Source organism: Homo sapiens, chromosome 9, assembly GCF_000001405.40.
Source record: "Homo sapiens chromosome 9, GRCh38.p14 Primary Assembly".
In the NCBI taxonomy this organism is placed as follows: Eukaryota; Metazoa; Chordata; class Mammalia; order Primates; family Hominidae; genus Homo; species Homo sapiens.
In genome coordinates this window covers 71,918,030-71,940,306 of record NC_000009.12, presented here as the reverse complement: position 1 = coordinate 71,940,306, position 22,277 = coordinate 71,918,030, and the positions used below count along the sequence as shown (strand labels likewise).

The 22,277-nt window shown below is 37.0% G+C and overlaps 1 protein-coding gene across 11 annotated transcripts in view, besides 4 other annotated features; it reads right to left on the bottom strand.

Moving 5' to 3' along the window:
• C9orf85 (chromosome 9 open reading frame 85) overlaps window positions 1-22,277 on the bottom strand; it is a 74,420-nt gene that overhangs the window by 45,752 nt on the left and 6,391 nt on the right. For 2 of the 11 annotated variants that reach the window (NR_157408.2, NM_001365055.2), the window contains exon 2: window positions 21,752-21,882. The exons of the other annotated variants lie outside the window; for them this stretch is intronic. Coding sequence is in view for 1 of the 2 variants with exons in the window: in NM_001365055.2 (NP_001351984.1) it covers window positions 21,752-21,796 (45 nt within the window). In the remaining variant the exon portion in view is untranslated. The remainder of the gene's footprint in view (window positions 1-21,751; window positions 21,883-22,277) is intronic. 11 annotated transcript variants of the gene reach the window in all.
• Window positions 18,305-18,810: an enhancer, noted in NCBI's record as "OCT4-NANOG-H3K27ac hESC enhancer chr9:74536413-74536918 (GRCh37/hg19 assembly coordinates)". NCBI's record gives its function as "activates a minimal SCP1, AML or CMV promoter by ChIP-STARR-seq in primed H9 embryonic stem cells {active_cell/tissue: H9 hESC(primed)}" and the evidence as "EXISTENCE:reporter gene assay evidence [ECO:0000049][PMID:30033119]".
• Window positions 18,811-19,316: an enhancer, noted in NCBI's record as "OCT4-NANOG-H3K27ac hESC enhancer chr9:74535907-74536412 (GRCh37/hg19 assembly coordinates)". NCBI's record gives its function as "activates a minimal SCP1, AML or CMV promoter by ChIP-STARR-seq in naive and primed H9 embryonic stem cells {active_cell/tissue: H9 hESC(naive and primed)}" and the evidence as "EXISTENCE:reporter gene assay evidence [ECO:0000049][PMID:30033119]".
• Window positions 19,317-19,822: an enhancer, noted in NCBI's record as "OCT4-NANOG-H3K27ac-H3K4me1 hESC enhancer chr9:74535401-74535906 (GRCh37/hg19 assembly coordinates)". NCBI's record gives its function as "activates a minimal SCP1, AML or CMV promoter by ChIP-STARR-seq in naive H9 embryonic stem cells {active_cell/tissue: H9 hESC(naive)}" and the evidence as "EXISTENCE:reporter gene assay evidence [ECO:0000049][PMID:30033119]".
• Window positions 20,329-20,835: an enhancer, noted in NCBI's record as "NANOG-H3K27ac-H3K4me1 hESC enhancer chr9:74534388-74534894 (GRCh37/hg19 assembly coordinates)". NCBI's record gives its function as "activates a minimal SCP1, AML or CMV promoter by ChIP-STARR-seq in naive H9 embryonic stem cells {active_cell/tissue: H9 hESC(naive)}" and the evidence as "EXISTENCE:reporter gene assay evidence [ECO:0000049][PMID:30033119]".

The following is a 22,277-nucleotide window of genomic DNA, read 5'->3' as shown; positions in this document are numbered from 1 at the left end:
ATAAACCACTGTGCCTGGCCCCACCCTGTATTTTCTTTGGTTAAGTGTCTATTCAAATCTTTTGCGTCTTTTTTTTTTAAATTGTTCATTTTCTTATTATTGAGATGTGAGAGTTCTACATATTAATATATTCTGGATTAACAGCCCTTTATCAGATGTATGCTTTGCAAATATATTCTCCCAATCCATGCTTTCATTTCCATTATCTTAATAGTTTTTCCTAAGAGCAGATCTTTTTAATTTCAAAGAACAATTTATCAATTTTTTTCTTTCATGAACCATACTTTTTGACTCTTGAATAAAAAAGATCTTAATCTGTTTTCTTCTGCAAGTTCAGTAATTTTACATTTTACATTTAGTCTATAATCTATTTTGAGTTAATTTTTGGTTGTACATAGTGCAGAATCCAAGTAGATGTTCTTTTAAAATTATATACAGATGTACAATTGTTCCAGCACCATTGAAATGCCTTTGTACCTTTCTCAAAAATTAAGTATGTGTAAGGTCTATTTCTGGATTCAGATCCTGTCACATTAATCTATGTGTCTAGTCTTTCACCAATACCACCCTGTGTTGATTCCTGTAGCTTTATGGTAAGTCTTGAAATCAGTACTTCAATTCTTCCAACTATTTTTGTTTCCAAAATTGTTTGGCTATTCTAATTCCTCTGCTTTTCTATATAAATTTTAGAATCTGTTTGTTGATTTCAACAACAACAAAAAACCCTGCTATGATTTTGATTAGGATTACACTGAAACTGTAAATCAATCTTGGGAAGAACTGACATCTTAACAACATTCAATCTTTCAGTCCATGAACATTCCATTTCTTATTAGATAAACCCCAGTCATTTGTAATATATTGTCCTTTTTATACATTGATGAATTCCATATGCTAGTATTTGGTTAATGATTTTGGAATATATATGCATGAGGAATTGTACTCTATAGTAATTTGGATTTTTTTTTCCAATGTCTTTGGTTTTGGTTTTGTCTGTTTTGGTTCTCAGGTGCTGGAGAATTTATATAACTTAGAAGAGCACAAGAGAAGAAAGTCATACAATAATAAGAAAATCACACATAAGAAAATCATACAATAATATAGCATTGTATATATATATTATTTTTTACTGGACTTTATTACTTTTATAGATGAAAAATACCTCTACAGATCAATTTTATAGAGCTAAAACGAGTCTTTACATATAAATATTCAAAATATAGAAATTTTATAAAAATACAGATAAAGAATAAAGACAAGTCCTATCACTCAGAGATTCTACACTTTGCAGCACTTCAAGTATATATTTACATAAGTTCACATTTTTTCCACATATGTTGTTTTATAACATTCATTTTTCCATATTAATATATATACTTTCAAAGCATGTCTTTATTGTATGTACTATAGTCTCTCAGAGTAATACCATCATTTAGTTAACCTATTATCTACTCTTTGACAGTTTAAATGTTTCCAATTTCTGAATATATATATTTTAAATATATTGGCCTATAAATATCAGAAAACTTCTAATAAACATGTAAATTCTCATCCCATTATATTTATACATAACAAGTTCTGGTTCCATATGAACAACATTGTAAGAAAATACAAGCAATTTTATTAGATGCAAAATCTCATAGTAAAAAATAAATGTCCCCTTTCTTTGGTCAAGTGTGTACTACTTCTTTATTAAGCTTCTCTAAAAAGAGTTTACATGTATGGATAAGAATAAGAGAAAAAAATAGTTCATGTTCTTGTTTTATTTGCCACTGTATCAATACAGAAATCATTACAAAATGATTTTATTTTGTAAACATTGTTGCTATTATAATAAAGTATACAACAAGTCTCAAATTTGTGCATTATTACTCAACTCAACTGACTTATATTTTTAAAAAAATGACCAAACTTAGAATGAGTACACATAATTATTTGGATAGTGAGGCAAATGTTTCCTACTACCGTCCGTAAAAACTTGCTTCGCTTTTTTATCCTGGCAGTTAAGATTTTTTAAAAGAATAGAAGACACTGACAGTTCCCTTTTTGAGAAAGGAATTAAAATTCTTGCTATAATCAACTTACTACATTTCCTACAGACAGAACACCCCTACTATATGAAAACTTTCAAACCTATAAGCCCTTTTAAAATGTGATATGAAGTAATAATTTGCATGTGTACTATCCTCAAAAATACCTTATTTGGACAAGTTACTGAGCCTTACTATTTTTATGTATTTTATTATTTCACAAAATGAGCTAGTCATACAAATAGCCCAGAAATACTTTTGAAATGAGTTCTGGTAGTAAAATTGGTTTGTCATTTAAGGAGAAATATAAAATCAAAGTTATTACTAGCTTACTTCTTTTTAGGAAATTACGTTTGTTCCACATAGCTAATTAGAGAGAAATCAACACTTATAAGAATTCTTCACAAAAACTTAAGTCCAAGTTGAGCAAATTTATTACCCTAAAAAACCTGATATGCACACATATATCAATATTTCAGTAATATTTGATTTTTAATCTATAAAAATTTAATTAAAAGATATCTAAAGTATAGGTGATATAGATCTGCACTGTGAGCTAAAATAATATTCTCTGAAGTTTAGTCCCTCTTGCTCCCATTCACTCTAAATTCATCACAAGTTTTTAAAACACCAATAACAAACTGAGAAGTGAAAGTATATACTAGAAATACTCAAAATGATCCTCTTGTTCAATATACTCACAATATCTTTTTCTAGTCAAGAAATAATATTTCCCTCCTCCCATTTTCCTTGTTACTGCTAGAATCTTTAACAAATGACATCTACAAAAATGAACAATCACATTTTTATCCAAAGACTGAATATAAAATGAGTTCTGATCATCCCAAACAGAGAACCATTCTTTCAATAAGTGGGCAAAGCTATTCAGTTGCAATTATGCAGACAGGGTCTGTGTACAAACTAACCACTGATTTATTTCAGCAACCAAGCAAACTACCGAGATTTTCACTGACAAACCTAATGCATACACAAAGTGGAGCCACACCTACCTACAGGCAGAAACATGCTGTGGCAGTACCTTTTTCTGGCAGTTGAGAAAACCTATTTAAGCAACTTTATTTTCCCAAGTATATTTTTCTCACTTACTTTTAAGGAAATTAAAATAGGTTGGCATTGTATTTTAACAAATAAATATTTGCGAAGCATTCTAACAAACACTGCGCTGATAAATCTATCGCAACTTTGAAAGTTTCAACAGGCCAGGTATGGTAGCTCAGGGCTATAATCCCAACACTTTGGGAAGCCGAGATGGGAGGATCACTTGAGTCCAGGAGTTTGAGACCAGCCTGGGCAACACAGGGAGATCCCGTTTCTACAAAAAAAATGAAAATTAGCCAGGCAAGGTGGTGCACACCTGTGGTCCCAGCTACTCCAGAAGCTGAGGTGGGAGGATCGCTTGAGCCAGGGAGGTCAAGGCTGCAGTGAACTGTGATCATACCACTGGTGACAGAGTGAGACCCTGTCTCAAAAAAAAAAAAAAAAAAAGCTTGAACAAAGAACTCTAGTATGAAGATTTTTAATTTTCTCCATTCCAATTCAGCAAGGCGTGTTATGAACATTAGAAAATATTTTTAAGAAAGGATCTACAATGCAATGTTTTAAAATTATCTTTGAACTATCTTCATTATTAACTATGAGTCACTCGTAGTAAATAATAACTCAAGAAAAACTCATGTAAATGGAAACAAATAGCTATATTGTTGCAGCAGTAATATGGGAAGCACACCTTTCCTTCCTCAAAATTTTGAATGCCAATCACTTTATCTAGAAATAATATGTCTTTCCTGAAAAAAAAAAGACTCTCTACAAGTAGGGTAATACTTTCAATCCCATTTGTTCCTTCTCAAGATGTTTTGCCAATACATCTCCTTCTTTTAGTCATCAACTTTCTCTCTCAACCCTGTTCAGTCCCTTCTTTTGACACTATTTTCTCCAGGTCAACTGAATGCATAACTACAGCCTCAGCAATGAGCTCAACGAAGATTACATCCAAAACTATGTCCCTAGTGCTAACTCATGTCTCTGGAAGTTCTGATGTCTCAGATTGCAGGCAAGATACCCATTTTTCTCCTCACAGAAATCCTTGAGACACCTCAGATTCAAAGACCAAACAGCAATCACTCAATTAGCAATACAATCTGTTCCTCCTGTGTCCCAAACCTCATCTTTAAAAATCTTTAGATAAAAAAACTTAGGTCACTTTTTTTACTTCTTCCTCTTTCACCTGTATATCTCTTTACTTCCTTATATAATCTGTATTACTGAAGTGGCCTCTCAAACAGAAGATGGGTTACAGAGTAAAGACGGAGGGAGTGAGACCAAACAGCCAACAGTTATTTTTTTTCTGTTTCTCCCCTGGTAAATACACAGAGCATAAAATTTACCAACTTAACGATTTTTATGTGTATAGTTGAGTGGTATTAAATACATTCATATTGTACAACCATCACCACCATCCATGTCCAGAACTCTTTTCATCTTCCAAATCTGAAACACATAACTCTCATTGTCCCTTCCTCCTAGCCCCTGGCAACGATCATTCCACTTTCTGTCTGTATAATTTTACAACTTTAAGTATCTCATGTAAATGGAATTACAGAGTATTTGTCTTTTTTTTTTTTTTGGGTCGGGGGGCAGGGTCTCGCTGTGTTGCCCTGGCTGATCTCAAACTGCTGGCCTCAAGTGATCCTCTTGTCTCAGTATCCCAAAGTATGGGATTATAGGTGTGAGCCACTGCGCCTGGCTTTTTGTGACTGGCTTATTTCACTTAGCATAATGTCCTTAAGGTTCATTGATGCTGTAGAATATGTCAGAATTTCCTTCCTTTTTAAGGCTAATATTACACTGTATGTATATAACATATTTTGCTTATCTACTCTTCCCTAGATGGATACTTCAGTTGCTTCTAGGTTTTAGTTATTGTAAATAATGCTGCTATGAACATGGATGTACAAATATCTCTAAGACCCTGCTTTCAATTCTTTTGGGGATATACCCAGAAGTGAAATCATATGATCATATAATGATTTTGTTTTTAATTTTCTGAGTAGCCACCATGCTGTTATCCAGAGCGGCTGTGCCATTTCATATTCCCACGAAGAGTAATAAACAAAGGTTCCAATTTTGCCACAGCCTCAAAACATGTTACTTTCTGTTTGTTTGTAAATAATAGTCATCCGAATGAGTATGAGGTGGTATCTTGTAGTTTTCATCTGTAGTTCCCCAGTGATTAGTGACGAGCATGCTTTTGTGTGCTTACTGACCATTTGCATATCTTTGGAGAAATGTCTACTTAGGTCCTCTGCCCATTTTTGAATTGGGCTGTTTCTTTTGTTGTTGAGTAATAGTTATAGTATTATATATTCTGCATATATATATTTTTTTCTGAGACAGGGTCTTGCTCTGTTGCCCAGGCTGGAGTACAATGGCACCATCTTGGCTCACTGCATACTCTGCCTCCCAGGCTCAAGCAATCCTCCTACCTCAGCCTCCTGGGTAGCTGGGACTACAGGCACAAGGCACCACACCTGCCTAGCTTTTGTGTTTTTTAGTAGAGACAGGGTTTTGCCACGTTGCCCAGGTTGGTCTCAAACTCCTGGGCTCAAGTGATCCACCTGCCTCAGCCTCCCAAAGTGCTGGGATTACAGGTGTGAGCCACTGTTCTCGACCATATATTCTGGCTATTAATCCCTTATCAGGTATATGATTTGTACACATTTTCTCCCACTCTATGAGCTGCCTTTCTACTCTGTTGATAAGTGTCTTTTGATGCAAAAACATGTTTAAATTTTCAGCAAAGCCAAATACTGATAGCAGAAAGAGAAAGTGAGGCATTTATTGCAAGACGCCAAACAAAGAGAACTGGGCAGCTCATGCCTGAACTCCCAGATGGCTTACAGGTAAGGATTTTTTGTTTGTTTGTTTTGAGACAGTGTTTGTTTTGTTTGTTTTGAGACAGTGTCCTGCTCTGTTGCCCAGGCTAGAGTGCAGTTCAAGTGATTCTCATGCCTCAGCCTCCCAAGTAGCTGGGATTACAGGTGCCTGGCACAACACCTGTCTAATTTTTGTATTTTTAGTAGAGTCAGGGTTTCACCATGTTGGCCAGGCTGGTCTCAAACTCCTGACCTCAAGTGATCTGCCCACCTTGGCCCCTCAAAGTGCTGGGATTACAGGCATGAGCCACCATGCCCAGCCCAGGTAATGGTTTTTAAAGGCAGGTGACAAGCAAAGTCATAAATCAATATATGGAGATTATACACTGGCTTGACCTAAAAAGGAGGGGCATCTTGAAATGGGAGCACACAGGTCATAGGTGGATTCAAATATTTTCTGGTTGGTGATTGGTTAAGGAGGTGAAACTTTGTCTAAAAATTCGGGATCAGAAAAAAAAAAGTTAGCTCTGGCTTATGGGCATGACCTTCTGAAGGCTCTTCAAAAAGAAAATTAGAACAAACAATAGCAGTTAGAGTTTAGTTCTCAGTTCCCTCTTATCTGAGGTCTATGCGCCAGCAGATCCATCTAGTGGGAGTCCAGGTTTCCAAAAAGCAACTCAAAGACATATGTTATGATGTTATCTTTAGTTTCTACAGGGGACAAAGTATCTCCTGAATATAACTTCCTTGGCCATGTGTTAAGTTACTATTACACGTAACATGGCCCCAAAGCCCAAGAGCAGTCTAGCGATTCAGATATGCCAAAGAGAAGTTGTAGAGTGGTTCCTTTAAGTGAAAAGGTGAAAGTTCTCAACTTAGAAAAAACAAATTGTGCATTGAGATTGCTAAGATCTATGGTAAGAACAAATCTATCTGTAAAATTTGTGTAGTAGGAAAAAGTTGGAGCATTTCCTCCTGCATATAACAGGGGGATTATTCTAAATTATGAGTCACTTCTCTCTTGCTGCCTTCAAAATTCTTTGTCTTTGGTTTTCAACAGTTTGATTATAATGTATCTCAATGTGGGTCTCTAAATTCACCTAACTTGGAGTTCTTTGAGCTTCTTGGATGTTTACATTCATGTTTTTCACCAAGTTTGGGAAGTTTTCAGGCAGTATTTCTTCAAATATTCCGCCACTTTCTCTCTTCTCCTTCTGGAATCCCCAAAATATGTAAGTTGGTCCACTTAAGGGTATCCCACAGATTCTTTAGACTCTGTTCACTTTTTCCCAATCTTTTCTTTTATGTTTCTCATACTTGACAATTTCCATTGTCCTATCTTCAAGTGTACAAATACTTTCTTCTGGCTGCTCAAAAATGCCTTTGAATCCCTCTAGTAAATTTTTCACTTCAGTTACTCTACTTTCAGCTCCAGAATTTCTTTTTGGTTTCTTTTTAGGATTTTTCCTTATTGATATTTACATTTTATTCATATATCATTTTCTTGACTCTCTCCACATCTTTCTTTAGTTCTTTGAGTATCTTTCGGACAGCTATTTCAAAGTTCTAATAGATCCACCATCACTTCTTTTTCAGAGGCAGTTTCTGTTGATTTACTTTTTTCCTTTGAATGAGCCATATTTTCCTTTTCTTTTATGCCTTATGATTTTTTTCTTGAAAACCGAACATTTGAATCAAATAAGATAGTAACCCTGGAAGTCAGATTCTCTTCTTTCCCCAGGGTTTGCTTCTTTTTGTTTTGTTTTTTATTATCGTAGATTGTCTCATAAAGATGAAATGATCTAGATTCAATAAATGGTTACACAGAAAATGATTAGTACAGAGCTGAGGCAAAGTCATGACTCTGTAGAAGAGCAACTGTTAAGCCAGTTCTCAATCTCTAGTGTCTATAAGACCCTACTGAAGACTATATCAAAAATCAGATTTCCAGGCCCTACCTTCTGAGATTGTGGTTTTATAACTCAGGAGTTTCTGTTGTATAGACAACACTTTGACAACCTACAGTTAAGGGATGGGGAGTGCACTAGAGCAAGCAAGGTATGATTAATGCCAAGAAAGAATTCAGATAGAATGAGCTTCTATGAAAATAATCTCTTCCTCCCCCGACCATTTCCCAAGGCAAACTGAGTGTGTACAAACTGTACAAACTGAGTGTGTACAAACTGAGTGTGTGTGCTCCTTGGAAAGCTACTCATGTAGACTGGAGTATCAGATCTGAGCATCAAATACAGGAGAAGGTAATTACTAGAATAGTTTCATGTATGATTTGAGGAGCACATACATCAGAATCACAGATGAGTCTTGTTAAGAATGATCATTCCTGGACTCAACCCTAAGATATACTGATTAAGAATGTCTGGCACCTGGGATTCTGCATTTTAAACAAGCTTTCCAGATGATCCTTAAGCACACCAAAGTCTAAGAACCACTGCCCTAGGCAGCTAAAGCAAACCGACATTTCTAGAGAAATGTGTTCCCTATCTCACCTCTGCTACTGGGAATACTATTAAGGACGTGATATACTTTTCCTGAAAAAGAAAGTTATGATTCTTATAGTTTAAACAACACTGGTTAGTGTAGGTGAGAAATAATAAATCGCTGACAAGTGTAGAGTACCTTCTGCTTAAAAATCAATTTTTACAATTAATTAAATCATTTCCTTACAACTATCTTGAGGGATGAATAGTACTATTCCTATCTTATATAGGAAGAAACAAATCCAGGCAGGTTTAATAATCTGTCCAAGATCACACATCTACCAAATATTACAACCAGAGCTCAAGGCCACGCCTCTGACTCCAAATTTCATCATTTGCCCCACTATTCCATACTGCCTTTCTTTTGGAAACTAAATCTTAGACTGATTTTTAATTTCACCATTGAGAGCACTGATTCTTTGGGGTGATGAATTCTGAGCTCCAAACAAGTGACTTAAAGAAAGCTTTGAAACATACAGTGTTTACAGACTAAACACTGTTTAGTTACAGACTAAACATTCTGGAGACTGTTTCAGATATCTGATATATTAGTCTAGCATACGCAGAAACAGTCTCCAGAATAATCTCTGAACTGACAGGAAAAGATATGGTAGAGGCATAAGTCAGGAATCCAGAAGAGCTATCATTTAAGAAGCTTTTCCAAAATCACGTATCAAAAGGCATCACCCCCAGATGTAATTTTTCCCAGATTCTCACTCTGTATGACTAAAGTCCCTTAATTCAGACATGGATTGACATGGGTACTGCACTGTACAGAAATCAGCTGTTTTCTGGATTGACTTCCTCCATGGTCAGAAAAAATAAAGTTTACATCAGTAGTTTCTGGCCTTTATTCCTATTCCTGAAATTTAAGCCAAATCTAAACACCTCGAAGGTTGGGAGACTATTCCTTCTTCCTCACTCTTCCCACTGAATTACCTCTGCCTTAGTTATAAGTTCAAAGGTCAGACCAAATGTGCTAGTGAATCTAAAATTAGGAACATGCTAAGAAATGTGGGTAATTTCTAGATCAGTGATTCTCAACCTTTGTTTGTGTCTTTTTTTTTTTTTTTTTTTTTTTTGAGACAGGGTCTTGCTCTGTCACCCAGATAGAGTGCAGTGGTGGGATCACGGCTCACTGTAGCCTCCACCTCCCAGGCTCAAGTGATCCTTTCACTTCAGCCTCCCTAGTAGCTGGGACCACAGGCATGTGCCACCATGCCTGGCTATTTTTTTTTTTTTTTGGTAGAGACAGAGTCTCACTATGTCACTATGTTGCCCAGGCTGGCCTCCAACCCCTGGGGCTCAAGCAATCCTCCCACCTCAGTCTCCCAAAGTGTTGGGATTACAGGTGTGAGCCAACATGCCTGGCCTGTTTCTGTCTTTACTGTCCACATAGCCATACCTTCATCATCATATACAGAAAGTGGCAAATCATAATTAACGGGAGAGTAATAAGTATTTTGGGGAAAAACAGGGAATAGAGAACCTGGAACATTATCTTCCAACAGAGAATATCCACATGAAAATTAAAGGAAATATAGCTATATGCATGAGTTTCTATCTTCTCAGATCTTCTAGTATCCTTATCATTTAGCTCCCTGCTTGGTTGTTTATGTTTCTGGTCAATGTTCTTCTGCTTACTCAAGTCTGAGTGATTTTATGTGCATGGAACATGGCTGTACTTTGGTCAGGTGTCCAGACAAAAGCATTCTTAGGGAAGAATTATTTATCTACAAAGTTTATTATAAAATAAATCTTTTGGTTTTTATTATAAAAATAATAGCAAACTAAATAATTTTTATTCAAAAGACTGCTACCATAAATCTACAAACCACATGTCTAATTCTGTATAAAAATTCTCCCTGCTATTTTTACAACATTCTTGTGGCTACGAGTAGGTATAATTATCCTCGTTTTGCAGATGAGAAACCTAAGGCTCAAAGAATTAAGAGATTTGCTTGAGGTCACAAAATTAATCAGAAGCAGCAGAGGCAGAATCCATAAAAAGATATCTTTAAGTTTAAGGCATGCTATTAAGTTACAAGTGGAACATGTGTTCCTATAGCTTTTTAGATCTTCTAAATATTAAAATAAAACACATATACTACTTGGAAGAGCACACATTTTCATTGGTACAGTGTTTTGACTTATTCTAACACTGGTATATTAACTGCTTTGTAAATAAGGCCAAACATGCTGGCTTGTTCCTAGAATAACATTAGAGTATTATACATTATTTAAAAGTCACAAAATTTCGAAGTTGGAAAAGTTCATTTAGAGAACAAAACATAATTTTTGCTAAGCAATGTTCTAAGAGAGGAGGATATAGTTTTCTATGATGCTGTTCCCAGATTTTCAACATACTGAGATCTAAACAATGAAGATCTAACTAAATGGTGAGCAATATGGGCCAACCTATGTACAATTCAACTGGAATGCAAAAAGCACCACTAAAGCAGCAATTGCATAGTGTCATGAGGCAACACACATGTTTTTATAAGCACTCATTAAAAGTTAAGTCACCATTTGAGATCTTGTCCAACCGGTACGGTATGCCCCAAGTTAGTGATCTTAAAAGAGACAAACCACTGATGGACTATTGTTTAACATGTATTAAACAAAAAAGAAGAATGAGATTTCCTAATAGGGATGTATGGAGTTAAGTCTTACAAACATAATAATTGGTAATGTCCACAAACCAAATGATTTTGTCTTTAAAAAAAATCTGCTTCGTAAGTCATTTACTTGGGGCAGGTGTAAGAGGACAATGACCATCTTAAAACTAACTTCCTCAAAGATAGGTGCCTCGCTCTGGTCATATTAATATGTCACAAGAATACCCTATTTATGGTAACAATGAATTCAAGAGTCAACTCACATCAGGAAGAAATTAGATTGTACCATGATTCATTTGGTTTAAAGCTCAGTATTCACATGTGACCTGCCTAACTTCAGTTGAGAGCATTTTCTCACTCTTAGAAACAGCAGAAAGAGGATTTTGATGACAAGAATATAAAAATCTAAGGGATAAAATTAATATATATTCTTAATGAAGAATGCAAATTACCTGTAATAAAATACTACCTTTTATTTCCATACTTTTGCTGTATCTGAATTTGTCCTATAATTCTTTTCATTTTATTCTCAAATCATCCTTGTGTGAAGGAAAATAAGTGGTACTGTTATTTATTGATATTCTAACTTATAAAGAGTTGGTATAACTCACCCACAGTTATATAAAGAGTGACTCAGTATTCATGTGAAGAGTCTACTCCTGGTGTGGCCCTGACTCCAAGTTTAGGACTCCTTCCAACATATTAAACTATAAAATGTGTCACAGGTTAGAATTAAGTACAGTCTGTATCATGACCATCTCTTTATTGTCTACAGGAACAATCCAAAAAAATATGAGCTAGTATGTACTCCGCATTATGCTAAGCATCTCAAAGATTCAGAAGATTCATGATGTGTAGTCCCTTCCTCACAGTGCATTCTATAAATCTGAACAGCAAGCAATATATTCTTAGAGTTAAAATAGTGTTTAAAATAAGAAATTAACTAACTGATTTCTTCAAAGTGAGCTTTTAGAAAAATTTGCATTGAGAAGGAGGCATATAGATACAGGGCTAATTGACAGCTCGTGCAGATATTCACATAAGCCATTGCCTTTTTTTTTTTTTTTTTTTTTTTTTTTTTGAGACAGAGCCTCATTCTGTTGCCCAGGCTGGAGTACAGTGGCAGAATCTTGATTCACTGTAACCTCCGCCTCCTGGGTTCAAGCGAGTGTCCTGCCTCAGCCTCCCAAGTAGCTGGGATCACAGGAATGTGCTACCATGCTCTACTAATTTTTGTATTTTTAGTTAGAGTCGGAGTTTCATCATGTTGGCCAGGCTGGTCTCAAACTCCTAGCCTCAAGTGATCCACCCGCCTTGGCCTCCCAAAGTGCTGGGATTACAGGCATGAGCCACTGTGCCTGGCCATGAAATGCAAGTAACTTGATAAAGGACAGAAAATAAAGTAATCCAGTTAACTGTTTTTTACAGAGAGGAGAAACCCCGTGTTTTTAATGTTATATTATATAAATACTACTACAGTTCAAATATCACTTTACTAATGAACTAAAAATCTACTTCAAGAACTTATCAGCTATTTTTAATTTTAAGCTTTTTATCATAAGAAGGTCTTAGTAATATTACTAGATTGCTTACTATTGCTTCTTGTACACTGGTCTTATCTCCCAGCTAGACTATTAACACTACAAAGGCCAGAATGATAGGCACTCAGACTTTAAAATTTTGATGGCAATACTGATTTTTCTTGTTTGTGGCTTCTCCACCACCCAAACAAGACAAGATCGTTAGCTTGCATTTATTTTTAATCCCTAGGTTTGGTTGAAACCTGGAACTATGAGTTTACTTTTTTTTCTTCTAAAAGATTTACCTCTTCTATTTTTATAATTCTATATAACAACAGCATTAAATTTCACTACCATATTGTCAATCATTTTTAAAGTTAACCCAGTTTTCCTAAGTTCTTGGTTCATCAGTTTCTTCTCTCGCATCTTTTTATATTCTGGAGTACACCCCTAAATGTATACTTTTTTTTTTTTTTTTTTTGACAAACTTTCAGCCTGGATGATTTTTTGCCCTGACATATGAGCGAGCCATAGCTTAGCTCTATAAGAAATTCTAAATTCAAAATACTCCTTTACAGTATTTTGTAGACCTTACCCTACTTTTTATGATAATAGATGAGAAGTCTGATGCCTACTTACAGTTGCTTTGTAGTTAACCTCTTTTGTTCCTCTGAAAGAGGGTAGCAATTTCTCTTTACCACTGGAGTTTACCAACCTCACCATGATATGTCTAGGTAACATCTTTTTCCCACAATAATCCTAGAAAGCACTTGATAGAACCCTTCTACTTGAAGGCTTAAGATTTTCCTTAACTTTGGAGTTTTTTTTTTCTTTTTATCATTTCTTTCTTACCTTCCATGTCCTCTGTATTTCCTTTAGACAGAGCAGCTTTCTTAGCTTGAGCCTCCAAATATCAAATTTTATTTCATAATTTTTATCACTTTGACCTTTTTGACTAGGTTTTAGACAAGCCCATTGGCTTGATCTCCCAAATCACTAATTTAGTCTTTAACCTTGTCCTATTCAGCCTTTCTATTAAGATGTTTACATTTCTACAACCACAGTGGTAGTTTTTAAGCAATGTCACAGGATTCTTTTTTTTTTTTTTTTTTTCAACAGCAGTGTTTGCTGGTTTTTGGACTTTGAAAGCTATTTGAATCATTAAGGATATAATTTAGGATACTTCGGGTTTCGGGTTTTTAAAAGTACTCTTCTGTGACTTACATTACCTCTCTTAACTGGGCATGGGAGGGTTTCTAGCATGCGTTTCATGGTTTCTATTTTCCTAAAAAGTTTAGTCTGCTTAGCTCATATTTATAAATGAGGGCCTAAATCTACATTATCCAATATGGTAACCAGTATTCACATTTGGTTATTTAAATTGAACTAAAATTAAATAAAATTAAAATTCCCCAGTTGTGCTGGTTGTATGTCAAGTGCTCGATAGGGACATGTGGTTACTGGCTACCAAAATGGATAGCAATTATCGGGCATATTTCTATCACAGAAAGGTCTAATGGACAGTGCTGCTAGTGATTAAAGAGCTGTAGCTATAGAATGCATTACTAAAGCAGAATTGGGAATCACTATTGCTTTGGAAGTGAATTCAGATATTAATTATACAATCCCTGGCTCTGTTGACAGACTAAAAATTAAGAGCTATGGCTTTGCTTTAGTATACACAGGAAGCATTTTGCTTCTAAGCACAAGGGTTTCTTTGTTAAGCTCTAAGACCAACAGGGATCAGGTATACTGCTCTGCCTTTCTCTTTCATGGCATTTCCCCACTTTAGAAAGTTGTTCTTCTATCTTGGCATTATTCTAGAGTTTTACTGAAAAAACCTTAACTTCCACCCATATTATGTTGTAAATTCATACACTGTTTAGTTGTATAAATCTAATCCTCTCCATATCTTTAGTTATCTTAATTTTTAAAATAAAAGTAGAACTTATTTTGCTTTTTTGTTTAACTGCTCAATGTATATGTTACAAAGTTCGCTACATTCAGATATATAAAAAAACAGCTTGTTCATTTCTTATAGATAATCTGGCCTTTATCAGAAGCTACTGACTGATTAAAACAGTCTCTTTCAGCTATATGTTCCTTTTCTTCGAATTTTGCCTCCCTATATTTTTTCCCAAGAGAGTCTGATTGGACAACGGAGTCCACCGTCTCCTCCAGCTTCAGAGAAGGGACCTGTCTTTGTCCTGCTCTCCTTAATGCTGCTTTCTGCCGACAGAACCTTCTTCAGTTTTTTGGTATCATAGTTCTTTTTTTCTTTCTTTTTCTTCTTACTGAGATTTGGGGAAAAAGAAAACTCCTGCCTCAGCCTCCCAAGTAGCTGGGATTATAGGCGTGTACCAACATGCATGGCTAATTTTGTATTTTTAGTAGGGACGGGGTTTCACCATGTTGATCAGGCTGGTCTTGAACTTCTGACCTCAAGTGATCCACCCGCCTTGGCCTCCCAGAGTGCTGGGATTACAGGCCTGAGCCACCGTGCCCAGCCAAGAAAAGGAAAATTTTAAGTACATGTTCAGTCAGCCATTTTGAATTAGAAAAATACCTCAGTTAAATTTGACTGACTTTTCTTACTGGGCAGTGAATAAAAGACCTTAATAAATGTGTCCCTAGAGACACATTAAAATTAGAATTAACTACCACAGTAAGCCAGGAATTTTTTTTTAATATACTAAGGACTAGCTGACATTGAATCATCATATGAGAGTCAAAGAACTGCTCATTGTTCTGTATTGGTGCGTTTAAATTCAAGCAACAGTGTTACATATGTAAAAGTAACCACAATACTATTTTATATCAATAATAGATGACAACTTACCACACATGACTATTCTAGTTTTACTGAAAACCAGATTTAGCATTATTATGTCATTCAAGTTTATGGGAAACATGACATCCTATTACTATAGTGCCTTATGATAAAGACTAATGATGGTATATTGAACATTCACATATATAAGTATATACCATGATGTCAAATATATTACTCAAATTGATGACTTCAGTGGCATGAGTCATTTAAAAACAAACAAGACAGACACCTGATGTAAGCAACCTATATAAATATTCTCAGAACAACAAAGCATTTAAAATAATCCCTAGCTTAGCTTGGCATTTCATATCCATGATGCTGGGAATGGCCTACAATATCAGCTGACCTCCAAAACTGGGTCTGATTAGTGTAAAGTTGTAATTGAATTCTACTGCTGATGGACCATCATTTGAAAATTATTACATATACATAACTCCATCAACTACAAGAAGAAATACTTCTTTATGACATAAGACTCTGCAAAAACAAAAGCAAAACAGAAAATGCGTCATACAAGTTAGTTACAAAAGGACAATTTGCGTTAACATTTTAGAATGTAGCTCCAACTCTTCTAACTAAAAATACATCTGAGAAAATATCAAAGAAAATGTTTGCCATAAAGTTCTAAAAATGTCATTCCACCTCAAGAATAAGCAGATAAATTGGAAAAGAATTAGGACTAAGGTTGAGAAAATCAACTCCAAAGCTATGGGAAAGTCTAAGTTCACTTGATATTTTTAGAAGCCAAAAAACCCTACAGGGACCAAATTAATCACTGTTAGAAAATCAAATCACACTGATTTCTTTCAGCCCAAAGAAGGATTATCTGAAGTTGCTTTGTATATTTAAACAGTTAAGAGGATCTTTTGGAATGCTTTTTCACATCCACTAATACTATTTCTGAAAAGAGCCTGGTCATCTGGGTACCTGTATCTGTCCCCAAAAGCCACGACTTAAAGGTTAACATTTGTTCTATCTAGGGAGTGTTTTAATAGGAATTGTAATAACCCATTAGAGATGGAAAGATTGAGGATGCAAGAAAGCATGAACAATCTAAGGAAATTTACACATTAAATCCTTAGGTAGGCAAGATGGGCTCCAGGGTGTTGTGGAGCGGCTAGCCTCAGGGATAGTTTCATCTACGGTAATAATAAAATAAAATATATGGGTACAGACATTGGTAGTTTGATAGATGTGGTGGTGGTTTAATAAAAAGCTGAATCTAAGCAGAGTGAGGTTCTGTCAGCTGAGTACCACAGAGGGAAAGATGGACAAGGGAGCTGGGGTATATGCAAAAGAACAGTTACACTGATGAAACATAGGCTCCAAACTAGAAAAGCAGGGAAGGGCTGGGCGCCGTGTCTCATGCCTATAATCCCAGTACTTTGGGAGGCCGAAGTGGGCAGATCACATAAGGTCAGGAGTTCGAGAGCAACCTGACCAACATGGAGAAAACCCATCTCTACTAAAAATATAAAATTAGCCAGGCGTGGTGGCATATGCCTGTAATCCCAGCTACTTGGGAGGCTGAAGCAGGAGGATCACTTGAACCCAGGAGGCGGAAGTTGCAGTGAGCTTTGAGATCATGCCATTGTACTCCAGTCTGGCAACAGGGAGAGACTCTTGTCTCAAAAAAATAAAAATAAAATAGAAAAGCAGGGAAATCAAGACATGAATGAAGTACAGTAAAAAGTAGAAGGGCTAATGGACAGGACTACCCAATGGGGATAATAAATATTATCTGAGGGATATGGAAACCAGATGGATGGTGGTCAGTCTTTTTTTGAGACGGAGTCTTGCACTGTTGCCCAGGCTGGAGTGCAGCGGCGCGACCTCAGCTCACTGCAACCTCTGCCTACTGGGTTCATGCAATTCTCCCACTCCAGCCTCCCGAGTAGGTGGGGTTACAGGCGTGCACCACCACGCCCAGCTAATTTTTTTGTATCTTTAGTAGAGATGGAGTTTCACTATGTTGGCCAGGCTGGTCTCAAACTCCTGACCTTGTAATCTGCCCGCCTCAGCCTCCCAAAGTGCTGGGATTACAGGCGTGAGCCATGACGCCTGGCCCAGTCTTTTAAAAACTTTGTAAGTACAGCAGTTACCAGTGAGGAGCAAGTCTGTGGTCTGACCATGAGGGTAGACTTCTGAGGTGGCAATGAGATGTCAGATGTTGGACAGATTATCCATGTGTATGTAGCAATTACTAAGTATGATGACAGGAACTGTGGAAAGGTAGCAAGCCCAGGTACTAATGAGAAGGTGTAACTAGGAGTTTAGTACACATCTGGAGAGTATAGTAGTCTGACAGCATGTATTTCCGAGGAGCTACAGTTTTTGAGTAAGGAGAAACAAACACAGCAAATGGGAGAAATGGTTCTACATGGGAGAGGGGTGGTAAAGATGTGGGGTGAAAATACATCATCACTTAAGAGGATTACAGGGAAACAGTGCTCCCAGGAATAGCCAGGTAGGGCAAGAAAGTGAAAGACATTTTATATTCAATACTATGTCTCTATTTCATGACAACAGACTATAAATTGTAGAAGGTAAAGTGGAAGCATTAGGGGAGGGAGCATTGAAAGGTTGGAAAATTGCATCGGGTTAGGGTATGTACAAACCAAATAGGGAAAAGTAATAATGAATGATCTGGGAATCTAGGACATTAAAACACCAACCAGCCAGGCACGGTGGCTCATGCCTGTAATCCCAGCACTTTGGGAGACTGAGGCAGGTGGATCACGAGGTCAGAAGTTCGAGACCAGCCTGGCCAAGATGGTGAAACCGTGTCTCTACTAAAAATACAAAAATTAGCCAGAAGCTGTGGTGGGCGACTGTAATCCTAGCTACTCGGGAGGCTGAGGTAGGAGAATCGCTTGAACACGGGAGGCAGAGGTTGCAGTGAGCCAAGATTGCGCCACTACACTCTAGCCTGGCGACAGAGCAAGACTCTGTTTCAAAATAATAATAATAATAATAATAATAATAAAAAAAAAATAAAAAGCCAACCAAAACAAATAAATGCCTTTTGGAAGTTTCAAGAGAGTAGCTCAGTATCTTTCCAATAAATTCCCTTTCTGCTTAAGTTAGCAACTAAAGAATCCTAATGCTAATTACCTTCATGGACAGTGCCTTGCACACATCAGACCAGTAAAAAAAAGGAATGTTTATTTACTTCATTTGTAAACCAAAAAGAATTTGAGACAGGTCTCAATCAATTTAGAGGTTTATTTGGCAAAGGTTAAGGACCATGGCCCATGACTCAGTCTCAGGAAGTCCTGGGAACAAGTACCCAAGATGGGCTGGTTGGGATACAGTTTGGTTTTGTACATTTTAGGAAGACAGAAGTTACAGGCTAACACATAAATCACTGTATGTAAGGTACACATTGGTTTAGCCTGGAAAGGCAGGACATCTTGTAGGGAAGGGAGGTGGGGGAGCCTTCCAGATCATATGTGGATTCAAAGATTTCCTGACTGGCAATTGGTTAAAAGAGTTCAGCTCTGCCTGAACAATTGAATACAGCATAAAGAAATGCTTGCCTTTAGATAAAGGAGTTGTGGAAGTCAAGGTTCTTGTCATGTAGATGAAGCCTCCAGGTAGCAGGCTTCAGAGAGAATAGCCAGTGAATGTCTCTTAAAAGACCTTAAAAGGTGTCAGACTCTCCTAAGGGGAAGGAGATTCTCTACAGAATGCAAATTTCCCCCCACAAAACACAGCTTTGCAGGGCTATTTTAAATATGTCAAAAGAAATATATTTTCCGGAAAAATACTTTGATTTCCTTCAGGGCCTGCTATCTGTCATGTGATACTACACTAGAGTCAGGTTGGAAGTTGGTATCTTACTACTACAGAGTCTATTTTGTTAGTCTTAAGATCTCTATTTTAATGTTACTGCTGGTCAGTTGTGTCTAGACTCCAAATGGAGAAGGGTATGATGAGGCATGTCTTGACCTGTTCCCCACTTCCCATCATGGCCTGAATTAATTTTCTAAGTTTCTTTGAGGTCCCCTTGGCTGAAAGGGGGGGTCCATTAAGTTGGTTGAGGGGCTTAGAATTTTTTTTTTGTTTTACACATTCAATATATTTAAGTGCTATTTGGTCTGGAGTGATAAGAAAAATCTAAGAAAAGAATCTTAGGCATGTCAGCTATTCCTTTATCCCCTCCTTATTTCATTTCTTCCTTTCACAAAAGTGAAGATGTGAAAAACAGCACCAGCCATTGAGGTTGAAGTGAGCTGGCAGCTGGGGTGTTCTGAGGACATGCAGGATTCACTGTATACCTGCCTGTGACCTCACAGTAATATTTTTGCAGGTGTGGAGTCCTGAGGCTTAAAATAACAAATGCCACAGCTTGTAACTCTCAACCCCAAGGTTTTGTGTCTAACTATGCCCCTCCCTACTATAGTGTTTCTCTAAAAGGAAAATGGCCCATTTGGGGGTGAATTCATATTAATTACAACTTTCTTTTAGATTAATGAATTTACCTGAATGAAGAATTTGCAGAATAGTCTGTTTCTAAGCGTGAATTTATGTAGAAACAAATACTGGTGATACAATTATAAAATGTCATAATTAATCCAACAATAAGTATAATACTATTCCCTAAAAACAGTAAGTATAGTACTATTCCCCATAGTAGAGCAAATCAAGACAAATTAATTTCAGCTGTCATGTATTAGACATAAAATGAAGTACCTAAAATATATGATTAATGCACACAAAAAAATTATATTATATCAGGCCTCAACATTAAGAAACATGCTTTAGGCTGGGCATGGTGGCTTACACCTGTAATCCTGACACTTTGGGAGGCCAAGGCAGGCAGATCACGAGGTCAAGAGATCGAGACTGTCCTGGCCAGCATGGTGAAACCCCGTCTCTACTAAAAACTACAAAAATTAGCTGGGTGTGGTGATGTGCACCTGTAATCCCAGCTACTTGGGAGGCTGAGGCAGGAGAAGTGCTTGAACCCAGGAGGTGGAGATTGCAGTGAGCCGAGATTGCACCGCTGCACTCCAGCCTGGTGACAGAGATTCAGTCTCAAAAAAAAAAAAAGAAAAAAAGAAAAAAGAAACATGCTTTATTAGCTTCAAGTGGAAGCAACCTGGGAATCTAAGTATATGGAACATCCCCAAGCATAGATGAAATTATGCTGTGTGAAAGAGAGAAGAGAAAATAAAAGGTAAACAATAGTACGGATTACAATTCTTCAAAGCATTGAAAAGGGCACAAAGGAAAAGTAAAGAGCTTCACTAGCACTATTAGGTATAATATTATGTATATCATAATGCCTAGCACACCACAAATTATCTTGTCACTTGAAAAAATATGTTAAATTTAAAACAAATCAATGGAGGAGGGAATACATTTAACATAAACTCATTTAATAGCACTGGGAAACATATCAAAGAATATTTCTCAATTTGGAGAAAGATAAAAGAGGGTGACCTCTATAACACTAGAATCATCTGTAGAACGTCAGAGATGGTCAATTCAGATCTATGGTAGATTCTATGTCTGGCCAACTGCTTTGCTCAGTGGCTACCCTTAATTGCTGATGCCCATTGGCTGAGAAATAACACTTATTCCCATGACTGGCACTTCACCACTCACACTAAAATTCCTCACACCAGGGATTACATGAACCAATCTGGGTCTATTCCTTAAAGCTCAACATCTCTGGGCATGGGGAGACAGGACAAAGACCCTAACAACTGATACCAAGCTACCTGGACAAATAGTACAGTAAAGGTTTTTCCCACAGCAAAGTCTATTCATTCATTTTACAGTGTCAGGCATCACAACCCACGAAATTAGGATTACAACTTTATCTGAAACTAGAAAAAAATCAGTACCCAGGCTCAGTACCTTATATACAAAATCTACTTTGTAATGATCATCTTTACTCAACAGCAGCAGTCCCCAACCTTTTTGGCACCAGAAACGGGGTTTGTGGAAGACAATTTTTTCATGGACTAGGGTGGGGGTGGGGGATCAGGGTGGCTTTGGGATGATTCAAGTGCATTACATTTATTGTACACTTTATTTATATTATTATTACATTGTAATATATAATGAAATAATTATACAACCATAATGTAGAATCATTGGGAGCCCTAGCTTTTTTCCTGCAACTAGACGGTCCCATCTGGGGGTGATGGGAGACAGTGACAGATCATCAGGCATTAGATTCTCATAAGGAGCACACGGCCTAAATCTCTCCCATGTGCAGTTCACAATAGGGTTCACACTCCTATGAGAATCTAATGCCAGAGCTGATCTGACAGGAGGCAGAACTCAGGTGGTAATGTGAGAGTTGGGGAGTGGCTGTAAATACAGATGAAGCTTAACTCACTCACCTGCAGTTCAACTCCTGCTGTGTGGCCCAGTTCCTGACAGGCCATGGACCGATGCGGGGGTCGGGGGCTGGGGACCCCTGCTCCACAGGGAGACAAACTCAAACATCATGACTAGAGTTTGCAGATAAAGACTTACAAAAAGGTAAAGATGAAAAGACAATTAGAATTATTGTGACTTGTGGTTAGCTGAGATATTCAATATCTGTTAGAATGTTAACTTGTTTTTATTTCTGAAGAATAAAATAGTTGTCTTTTAAAATAGGAACACTAATATAATTAGTGTTCCTTCAACTTTCCCAAAACAAAAGGCAAGCAAACAAAAACAGAACTTTAAAACATCTAGGTGGTTCATCAGTCCTTTGCCTGTAATACCTATTTTTTTTCCCTCCCTGTGGCCCAGGCTGGAGTGCAGTGGCACGATCTCAGCTCACTGCAACCTCTGCCTCCTGGGTTCAAGTGGTTCCCCTGCCTGAGCCTCCCAAATAGCTGGGATTACAGGCGGCCACCACCACGCCTGGCTAATTTT